The 11,810-nt window shown below is 41.7% G+C and overlaps 1 long non-coding RNA gene across 3 annotated transcripts in view; it reads right to left on the bottom strand.

Annotated features, from left to right (window-relative positions):
* Window positions 1–366: 366 nt before the first annotated feature.
* Window positions 367–11,810, bottom strand: part of LOC105379301 (uncharacterized) — a 53,655-nt gene continuing 42,211 nt past the window's right edge. Inside the window, exons 3-5 of one of the 3 annotated variants that reach the window (NR_188132.1) lie at window positions 8,914–9,082; window positions 3,031–3,174; window positions 367–1,268 (exon numbers count right to left, since the gene is read on the bottom strand). This is a non-coding gene — a long non-coding RNA (uncharacterized LOC105379301). The remainder of the gene's footprint in view (window positions 1,269–3,030; window positions 3,175–8,913; window positions 9,083–11,810) is intronic. The other 2 variants (NR_188134.1, NR_188133.1) reach the window with 2 other exon arrangements.

Raw genomic sequence — 11,810 nt, 5'->3', positions numbered from 1 at the left:
TCCATAAAGATAGAAAAAAGTTTAAAGATTTTTTATAAATTTTGACTCAGGAATTACACTTATTAGAATTTATCCCAAAGAAAGGAACGGAGATGTATGCAAAGAGTTACTAGAGTGATGATCACTTCATCCTATTTATGTGGATGAATTGCAGATACTCTAGATATTTACCAGTGGGAATATGGGTGAAATAAATTTAGTTACAGTTATGTAATGTAACAGCATGAAGCTATAAAATAATACATTTGAAGAAAATTTAATGACATGGAAATAAATTAATGATAGATCTTAAGTGGAAAGAGACAGTTAAAGCAATGTACATAGTTTAATATTATTTTGTGGAAAATATATAAATATACACACAAAAAAGTTGAAATGCTATTTATTAAGCTGTTAGTGGTTGTTATCTCTGGGTTGTGAAATTATGGATGGATGATTTTCTTTCCTTTCCATGTCTATATTTTCTTCAATTAATATGCATTACTTTTTTTTTTTTTGAGACAGAGTCTCACTCTGTTGCCCAGTCTGGAGTGCAGTGGTGCAGTCTCGGCTCACTGCAGCCTCCACCTCCCGGGTTCAAGTGATTCTCCTGCCTCAGTCTCCCAAGTAGTAGGTATTTTAATAGCAAAAATGGAAAGTTGTTTTAAAACAATCATTCCAAGGAATGAGGTTAATAGAGCACTCATGAGTGCTTAATGTGCAATAAATCATCTTTGTCATCTAGTACTGTAGTTAGAAGGATTGAAAACCCAGAATCTTCACGACAGAACTGAAGTCAAACGTTCTGCTTGATGGTCTTCTCTATTTCCATGGTCCCATGTCCTGATTTGGGATTCAGAAAATATGACTGTCATAACCCTGTAGGTTATGGATGCCTGCTGAAACCTCATGGAGGCTCAATTCCATATCTTAATCATTTTAATTCTGATTTATTTTTACAGAAGTAGGAATCAAGTTTGTGGTTCAACAACTACAATTTAGTGAGGCAAGTGTAGTCATTCTAGTAGTTATGAAAGGTGTTGCCTTCCTTGAGATGAGGTGGGAAGGCTCTTATCAGCCAGGGGATGTCACACATGATTTGAAGACGCTTGCTGTTGAAATCCTGTGATTAGCAGGAAGTCCAAAATTTTCTCCTGACCCAAATAATCCAGGTTTTCTCAAACACCAAATAAAACCTGGCCTTGGTTTGACCCTTTTGAGAGATGCTTTCATTTCTTTTTCCATCACCAGTAGGACACCCATGCAGTATGCTTTATGTAAAAAATATCCTGAAAAATAAAATGAAACAATTTTAATTTTTTACATTTGGAAAAGATTTTAAAGCATCCAGAAGTACCAAGATTAATTTAATAGATAAATTGGGCCAGGCACAGTGGCTCATGCCTATAATCCCAGCACTTTGGAAGGCTGAGGTGAGCGGATCGCCTGAGGTCGGGAGTTCAAGACCAGCCTGACCAACATGGAGAAACTCCATCTCTACTAAAAATACAAAATTAGTTGGGAGTGGTGGCACATGCCTGTAATCCCACCTACTCTGGAGGCCGTGGTAGGAGAATCGTTTGAACCCGGGAGGCGGAGGTTGTGGTGAGCCGAGATCGCACCACTGCACCCCATCCTGGGAAACAAGAGCGAAACTCTGTCTCAAAAAAAAAAAAATACATTGAACCCAGTGGTGTGCTAGTCAGTGTTAGTAACTAGCACTCCCTAACTCTCCAGAGGAAAACACAGCATTTGCTGGTTTGTAGCATTGGCTGATTTCTTTGGTGTAAATGCTTCCACCATGACTGATTCCAAGCTACCCCCCTGACACCATTAAATGGGCAGATGGGGAAGAGATACCCATGATCAGTTTGCCTGGTGTGATCCAGCTCCAGGCTGGAGTGCAGTGGCGTGATCTCAGCTCACTACAACCTCTGCCTCCCAGGTTCAAGCAATTCTTCTGCCTCAGCCTTCCGAATAGCTGGGATTACAGGCACATGCCACCACTATTTTTTGTATTTTTAGTAGAGACAGAGTTTAGTAGAGACACGGCTATTTTTTGTATTTTTAGTAGAAACAGGGTTTCACCATGTTGGCCAGGCTGGTCTTGAGCTCCTGACCTCAGATGATCCAACTGCCTCAGCCTCCCAAAGTGCTAGCATTACAGGCATGAGCCACCATGCCCATCCGGGCATTTCTGGTTATACCCAATAACCATAAATAATAAATGTTAATAATTTAGCAGTTTTGCATGATTTTTTTTTACAAAATAAATAAAACCGTAATAATGCTGAGGTACTCTGTGTCTCTGCACAGATTCATTTCCTCACCTTCCTCCCCCAGCAACAACCATTATCAAGAATGTGGTATGTATTCTTTTAGACCATGTTTTTGTACTCTTCCTACATGTATATGTATGCAAAAGAATACATAGTTATGCTTTGCATATTTTAAATTTTTATCTAATGCTATCATGTTGTTCATGTTCTTCAACTTCCTGTCCCCTTCAATAATATGTTTTAAAAATCTATTCATGTTAATACATGCAGATGCAGTTCATCTATTTTAACTGTTGACTGTACTCTATTGTATGAATATCACAATTTATTCATCCATCCTCTTACAATGAACATTCATATTGTTACTAATTTTTTGCTAATACAAATGTTGTTTTAATGACCTTTGAGGCATGTCTGAGTATATAAAGTTACTAGACCTAGAATTGAAATGAATGAGTTGCAGGGAATACTTATTTTCTACTTTAGTAATACTGACAAATTGTTCTCCAAGTAGTTGTTCCAATTTGCACTCCTTCCAGAAATATATGAGAGTTTCTCATTTCCCATATCCTTGTTCTTGATATCACCAGGCTTTTAAAGTGTGGCCAAACTTAGGGTATGAAATGATACCTTTTTTTGACTTTGATTTCCCAGACTACTAGTTAGATTGGTCATTGTACTAGTTAGTGTAAAGGCTAAGCAGCTGTAACAAAGAGATCTCCAGATATAGTAATCTAGGTAAGAATTTCAATAAAAAAGATCTTTTTCTTACTTAATCTTATGTTGGCTAGTCCAGGCTGGTAGGAGGGCTCTGCTCCACACAGTCACTCAGGGATCCTTCCATTTGCTACAGTGCTATTCCTTAGGTCATCAACCTTGTCTTCCTGGTTGAAGTCAGGTCGTTGCCACATACCAGCTTTTGGAAAAAAAGACAAGCTCAGGAAAAGCAATTTCCTTGCAGACAAATAAGGCAGAAGTTGCACACATTTCTTCCAGTCACATTTCATCGGCAAGGACTTAGTCTCACGAATAGGAAATATATGTGTCTGGCTGGGCAGCCATGTCCAAGGAAAAGGAAGGAATGGAGAAAGTGCTAGCATTCCTTCCCAAGCAGATGTTTGTTGACGTTTTGGATTTCTTCTTCCGTGACTTGGCTGGTAATACATTGTGCCCATTTTAATTTTGCTTTTTTCCTTATTGTTTCATAGGAAGCCTTCATGTGCTCTAGATTTGATTATTTATTTATACAATAATTTTGATTGTTTAAATGCACCAGTATATATACCTCAATAGAGCTATTTTAAAATATTCTCATTTGTGATTTAAACAAGCCATATCACATTCTTTAGCTAAATTAATATTTCTTTTGTAAAGTGAATAAAACTACTCCCATCCCAATTTTCTCTTTTCTGGGAATATAATTTTACCTATTAACTTAATCAAAATTATAGATTCATGAAAATTTCTTTAGGCTAATGTAAGCTGCTCCAAGTTAAAAGAGAAAAAAAATGTGGCTTCTTAGATACTATTGAACCCTCCAAGAATATCTGACAATCTGTATGACATTGTGGTAATTTTTTTGACCACTCTGAATTTCAATTTTCTCAACTGTAAGTGTGATATTATTTGCTCCGCCTGCTACATGATATTGTTATAAGGATCAAGCAAGATAATGCAGAGAAAATGTTCTGTGCAATGCAAAATTTTTAAGTGTTAGGAATTAGAATTACAAATAGTATTTCAATAGCATTGCAGAGGATTTCATTTGAAATGTCCTAAGTCTTGTTTCCAGTTTCACTGTTATATTCTATATACCATTTACACAGATATTCCATACTCTATATCAGGGGCTGACCTTTGGCAGTCACTACCACCTCTGGGTGTGTGCGTGTACGTGTGTGTGGGTGTGGTTGGAATAACAGCCATGTGCCCAACCTCATCTGTGTGAGTCAAGACTCTCCTGAGAGCTGCCTTTATTTTGAGCAGCTCTGTTCCTAATGGCAACCTGGGAGGCTGGCTTTCCAGCCTGTTTTCAAGCAGTGCTCAGCAAAGCCACATCACCGCAAGGTATGCTTCAGAATTTCTATCGCTGTTTCAGGCCACCCCAGCTTGGCATTCATCATTGCCTTCCCCGGGCAGTTCTCAGTTTCCTACAATGTCTCATACTGCCTGTCACACCCAGTGACAGCCTGTTATAGTCGGGTGGGCAGCACTAAATGGCTGCTCCCTGGCTCAGCCCCATCCGTCAGTGCCTTTCCCCTGCATCTCTGCTCCAGCACCGCCCTTCCTGGGGATCCTCAGGCTTGGCAGAGGAAAAACAGGGCTGATAGAGACAGAGAAAGAGAGAGAAACAGGAATGTCTTGGGGTGAGATTTTTACTTTATTGGTGATAAACCAACTGTGAAAAGTTAGAAAGGAGAATTTTAGCAACATGTTGAAGAGGGGAGTTCTTTAAAGGGAATATAGGAAAAGCTTCATAATTTTATTGATATACTTGAATTTAATTTTAAAAGTAAGGACAGTAGTACTCTTGCATCAAAATGCAGAAGATTTATTTAACGCTGTGTATCCCACCCCTGTAGGTGTTAGGAATGCCCCCGTGAGGAAGAGGAAGTGAACTGAGGTGACTACGTGGTGGCAAAAGTCAGGAAATTAGCAGAGTTAGGGTTTGTGTCCTCCCTCCTACCCAGGAAGGGATTAGCACTGACTCATTTCGTAAACATTTATTTAGCAACTTCTGTATGCCAAGAGTTATCCTCCATGCTGGAATATAGCAGAGGCTGAAACAGATGAGGCTAAATCTTTTATGTCTGGGATTTTACTGCTTTCATGGAACTTAAATTGGCTTGTTAGGGCATGGAGGAGGTTAATGGCCAGAAACAGACAGAAAGACACATGATAATGAAAATAAATAAATAGTTACATGTCAGTTACTGTTAAATGCTAAGTGTCATAGTCCACTTTGTATTGCTATAACAGAACACAATAGATGATAATTTATTTATAAAGTAAATTTATTCTTCACAGTTCTAGAGGTAGGGGCATCTGGTGAGGGCCTTCCTGCTGCATCATCTCATGGCAGAAGGTGAAAAGATCAGAGAGTATGAGAGTGCAAGTGAGCAAGAGGAAGCCAAACTTGCTTTGATAACAAGCCCACTCTTAAGATAACTAACACACTCCTGTGATAATGACATTAATCCATGAGGACTCTCCCTTCATGACCTCATCATCTCTTATTCAGCCCCACTTCCCAACGCTGTGGCATTGGGGATTACGTTTACAACACATGAACTTTAGGGAATACCTTTAAACCATAGCACCGTGTAATGATTTTTAAAAGGTGATGTGAAAGCAATTGAGGTCATTAAAGAATATCTTTCTGAAAAAGTGACATACAAGCTGCTGTAGATCAAATGTTTATGATCTATAACATCCACCCTCCCACACACAAATTCATATATTGAAATCCTAACCCCCAGTGGGAGGGCGTTAGGAGATGGAGCCTTTGGGAGGTGAATAGTTCATGAGGGTGGAGCCCTCATGAATGGGACTAATGCCCTTCTAGAAGAGACCCCAGAAAGCTCTCTTACTCCTTTCACCTTGTGAGGACTCAGCAAGAAGATGGCCATCTATGAACCAGGAAGCGGACCCTCACCAGACAGAAAATCTGCCAGCACCTTGATCTTGGACTTCCAGCCTCCAGAATCATAAGAAATAAATTTCTCTTGTTTATAATTCTCTATGGTATTGTTGGTATAGCAATGTGAACTAAGACATAAGTTGAGATCTGAGTGATAAGAAGTAGCAAATCATGTTAGTTAGGAGGACAGAGTGCATTGAGCAGAGGCCTCAACTAACATGAAGTACCAAAAGTAGAACGAAGTTTAAAAAGTCCCAGTGGGGCTAGGAAGAAGGCCAGTGGGCCTAGAGTGGGGCGGGTGAGGGCAGAAGGCAAGGAGGTATGTGTGGAGAAGTGGCTGACCCTGGTTTACATAGCTCGGTCAGGTGGGGGTAGGATCAGGAATCACAAGTCCAAGGGTTTAGCCCAGACAGAGATCCCCTGCTTGGGGCTTCTGGGGCACTGAGTAAGCTGTGGCTTTCAGAATCAGGTGACTGTCAGATTCAGGGAGTTTTTCTCGGTGTGCTCAAGGACCAGAGTTTGGTGATGGAGGGCAGACATTGAGGAGGCAGGAACCATTAAAAAACAGGGTCCAGCCCTGGAAGAATAGACTAGTAGATATTGGAAAAGTTGGTTAAGGTCTCAGGTGAATGAAGTGAAACTCCATAACAAGACAGAACAGAGAGACATGCTTCTTGTGAAGGCTGAGTAGGGGCACTGCAGGTCTTCACTCACACAGGCATCTGGGACTCAGTTCAGCCCCTGGGATCCATACTTCGGACAGCAAACATTTCCAGAGCCCACTTGCTCATACAATGGGAGCTCCAGTGTATTAAAAGGTCAGACTTCTCTTGGCATAAATATTCACCTGGGTGAGCCTAAAGATGGCAGGTCATTTTGCAAGCACTGAGAGAGACAGCCAAATGTAAAGAAGCTTGCTTTTGACGGTTTAGGATCAAATTTGGAGCTCTGTGTCTTTGAGTTTGGGTACCTCTCAAGCCAAATCTTTAACATTTTTTTTCTACATTGAAAAGCAACCAACTGACGAAGGAACAAAGGCGAAAGTTCACTGTGAATAAGACTTGATTTTGCATTCCAAAGACAGATATACCCTGGATTAGGTTAGCTACAAATTGAAGCTTTATGTGACAAGTAGCATCTCAGGATGGCAGAAAATGTCCCTGTTTCTGAAGACGCACCGTGTCAAACCGTAGTCTCTAATTTTTGTGGCAAGGAAAAACTTCACGTGGCCCCAAAGCCTGTACTCTTATAATTAGACCATCCTGTCTCCAAGTAAGCATATTATTCCAATTTTTATCTATTATAGTCAAATTAGACCACAATTATGTGGAATTAAAATGAGGCATCATTCATGGAGATGTAGTACGTAATGTTAAATTAAAATGTATGTGCCTGTTTGCTGAGTTGAAACCATATAGATAGATAAGACACCTGATTAGATACAGCATATGGAGTGCTTTTTTTTATTTTTATTTTTAGACAGTCTCACTCTTATCGTCAGGCTGGAGTGCAGTGGCATGATCTCGGCTCACTGCAACCTCTGACTCCCTGGTTCAAGCGATTCTCCTGCTTCAGCCTCCCAGGTAGCTGGGACTACAGGCACATGCCACCATGCCCAGCTAATTTTTGTATTTTTAGTAGAGACAGGGTTTCACCACGTTGGCCAGGATGGTCTCGATCTCCTGACCTCGTGATCTGCCCACCTCAGCCTCCCAAAGTTCTGGGATTACAGGCGTGAGCCACCGCGCTTGGCCATGGAGTGCTTTGTATAAAAAGATAACAATGAAGCTGTCAATATTTTCACTAGAGGCATTCATTTCTTCATGCCTTACTGTAACAGTCCCCAACCTTTTTGGCACCAAAGATTGGTTTCATGGAAGAAAATTTTTCCAGGGACTGGGGCGGGTTGGGAGGGAGTGGTTTCAGAATGATTCAAATGCGTTACATATACTGTGTACTTTGTTTCTGTTATTATTACATTGTAATACATAATGAAATAATTATACAACTCACCATTGTGTAGAATCAGTGGGAACCCTGAGTTTGTTTCCCTGCAACTAGGCAGTCCCATCTGGGGGTGATGGGAGACAGTGACAGATCATCAGGCATTAGAGTCTTATAAGGAGAGGGCAACCTAGATCCCTTGTATGAGCAGTTCACAATAGAGTTTGTGCTCCTGTGAGAATCTAATGCCGTTGCTGATCAGACAGGAGGCAGAGCTCAGGCGCTAATGTAAGCAATGGGGTATGGCCATAAATACAGGTGAAGCTTTACTCACTTCGCTACCGCTGCTTACCCCCTGCTGTGCGGCCCAGTTCCTAACAGGCTACAGAATAGTACTAGTCTGTGACCCCAAGGTTAGGGACTGCCATCTTACTGTGTCCTAGGCACTATGCTGAGCACATTTTACATGATCTCATTTCCCTTATATTATGCCATTGTTTCTAAGTAAAAGTAATGTACTCAACAAATCTCCTGGCTTGGGGGACAGTGGTGGGGGTCATCTGGTCTGACTTATATCATTTGACTTATAGCAAATTTTCCATTAATGTATCTTCTTTACTTCATGAGACTTGAGAAATCACTTATTTGAACTTCTTTTTTTTTCTTTCTTGCTACAATGAGGGCAGTAATACATTAACTATTTAGGTTGGTAACAAAAGTAATTGCAGTCTTTGTCACTAAAAGTAAATTTACTGCCACTGCACTCCGGCCTCGGTGACAGAGTGAGACTCCATCTTAAAAAAAAAAAAAGAAAAAAAAAAAGAAATGACTCAAAGCAAAAGGAAAAACACAAAGCTTTTACAGATGATGAAGAGCCCAACCAAAATCTATTAAAAAGTAAATTTACTTTTTATGGCAAAGACCACAATTACTTCTGTTACCAACCTAATAACTACTTGGTTCATAGATATCATAGTGAGAAAGGACCTTGAGAGGCGTGAACCAGGCTTCCGCCTTCAGACAGTTGGGGCTATTTGTTCACAAATAGGAGGACAAGACTGGTGAAGTCACCTGCTCAAGGCCACACAGCTGGAGAAGGGCACAATCAAAACCAGCGTCCGGGTCTTCTGTCTCCTATTAAGATCTCCTTTCCCTAAGCTGAGCTTCCGGTGAGAGCAAGAGTCAAGGTGTGTTGGGATATAGCACATGTCTGCCATTGGTTCTCCCTGACCAGTTGTACCTGTAAAGCATAGAATGAAAGGGTAAGGATGGAATAAAACATGGTTCCTGTGAATGGCCCATTGTGCTTCTAACTGGCCAATTTGTGAAGAATTTAGGAAAGGCAGCTAAAACCAAAAACCATGGCTCAAAATAAATAAGCATCACTCCAAGGAAAAGGATCACGGCCTTATAACAACATTCTACCCGGATGATGAGATTCACATGCCTTCCTCCTGCCTCGCCTCTTCTACTGGGAGCACAACTGCTCCATCCTTTCCACTTGCCAACTTCCCAAACCTCAGCTTAGGACAACTCCAGTGTGCGATACAGGATTTAAAAGGAATAAAGAGGGAAGATGCTGAGGGGACCTTTTTTTTTTTTTTTTTAAACAGAGCCTTGCTCTGTCACCCAGGCTGGAATGCAGTGGCACAATCTCAGCTCACTGCAGCCTCTGCCTCCCAGGTTCAAGCAATTCTCCTGCCTCAGATTCCCAAGTAGCTGGGATTACAGGTGTGCACCACCACGCCCAGCTAATTTTTGCATTTTTAGTAGAGACTGGGTTTCACCATTTTGGCCAGGCTGGTCTTGAACTCCTGATCTCAGGTGATCCACCTGCCTCAGACTCCTAAAGTGCTGGGATTACAGGCATGAACCACCACTCCCAGCCCTGAGGGGACCTTTCAGCCAGGCTCCAGTCATTTTTAAAATGCAGAAGTGGCAATTAGCACAGAGACTTATTTGTGTGTGTGTGTGCGTTTGTGTGTGTGTGCGTGTGTGTGTGTTGTCAGGGAGCACTTTCATCCTTATGACTGTGCCTGAGAGCCAGACTTTCCTGACTCACTAATGAGTTTCCTGCAGGGCAGAGAAATCACCCCTCCCACCATGAAAAGGGCCAATTGCAGAAAAATCTCTAGTGAGAGAGAAAGATCTGAACAAACATAAAATGGACATTGATTTAAGGCAGATGCTGGCACCACCCAGGAAATAGGGAATAAAAGGCAGTGTTTGGGGAGAAGCAGGAGCATCTCTTGAAAGGAAGGAGAAAGCAAAGGAATACATTAAAAGACCAAGAATTGGCAGCAAGGAATTTGTTTTATAACAGGCATAACCGTGTCAACCAAAACATGTAAAGAAATGACTCTGTAAGCAAAGGCCGGGTATGGTGTCTCACACCTGTAATCCCAGCACTTTGGGAGGCCGAGGCGGGTGGATCATCTGAGGTCAGGAGTTCAAGACCAGCCTGGCCAACATGGTGAAACCCCGTCTCTACTAAAAATATAAAAATTAGCTGTGCGTGGTGGTGGGCACCTGTAATCCCAGCTACTTGGGAGGCTGAGGCAGGAGAATTGCTTGAACCCAGGAGACAGAGGTTGCAGTGAGCCGACACAGTGCCACTGCACTCCAGCCTCAGTGACAGAGTGAGACTCCATCTCAAAAAAAAAAAAAAAAAGAAAAGAAAAGAAAAGAAATGACTCTAAGCAAAAAGAAAAACACAAAGCTTTAACTGATGATGAAGAACCCAACCAAAATCTGAAAACTGTTTCCCAAGTTGTAAAACTCTCATCTCCCTAGTGAGTAGGGATTAGAGCTTAAACTGTGCCCACTCTGGCATAATTTATTTACAAATAAATTACGTATCCATAACTAAGAACGTCAATTTAACAGAAATGTTTACTCATAATACTGCCCATACCATGCTTGATGATTTATTCTTACATGACCCCTTTGCATTTAAAGTATCATTAGGGAGCTGAGTAAAAAACATGGCTAAATTTTGATGGGATTGGAGGCTGGGGAAGAGAGGAGGAAAGGATACGGGACCCCAAGAATTAGCTGGATTTTGCAGTGGGGCTCTCACAGCAAAAGACCATTGTGGATGAGGGGTCTCTGTACCTTTACCTACTTGCCAGGGAGGAGGTTGTGATGGAGCTAATGACCCGAATGAAAAGTTCCAACAGCAGATACGGGGTGCGCTAGGGGACTGAGTCAGTGTGTGAGTCAAATCCCACTCCACCCAGGAGCAAAACGACAATGGAGTCTTTCAGAGCATGGGTGTGAGTCATGCCAGAGCATCAAGCCATGCCATGCGACACTGTGACATCACTCCCACAGTCTCCATCTGGGCCCACAGAGCAGCTGTGGAAACGGTGATTGGATTTAAATCAAATTCAACTCTATTAAGTTAACCTTTGCAAGGTCAACATCTACTACTTGCTTTTTGGCCAGGCAGCAATATCTCGACAATGAGTGTGGATGGCTTCATTAATGAGGCTTTGATAATAGAAATCTGGGTCCCGATTAGACTGTATGCAGCATGTGTTTGTGGACTCCAGTGTATTTTACTGGGTTTCTCAGAGTTGTCAGTTGTATGTAGGAAATTATAATAGCAAAGGTATTTTTAAAAAGTCTGAATTGGCCGGGCCGGGGGTGGCTCATGCTTGCAATCCCAGCACTTTGAGAGGCTGAGGCAGGTGGATCACTTGAGGTCAGGAGTTTGAGACCAGCATGGTCAGCATGGTGAAACCCTGTCTCTACTAAAAATACAAGAAGAAAAAAAAATAGCCAAGTATGGTGGCTCGAGCCTGTAATCCCAGTTACTTGGGAGACTGAGGCAGGAGAATCGCTTGAACCCAGGAGGCAGGGGTTGCAGTGAGCCGAGATCTCACCACTGTACTCAGCATGGGCAACAGAGCGTGAGCCTATCTAAGTCTAGCTATTTTAGCACTAAGTACATATCTGTGTGTGTG

This window comes from Homo sapiens, chromosome 8, assembly GCF_000001405.40.
Source record: "Homo sapiens chromosome 8, GRCh38.p14 Primary Assembly".
NCBI classification, from domain to species: Eukaryota; Metazoa; Chordata; class Mammalia; order Primates; family Hominidae; genus Homo; species Homo sapiens.
The sequence above is the reverse complement of the archived record's forward strand: the minus strand, read 5'-3'. Positions and strand labels throughout refer to the sequence as shown.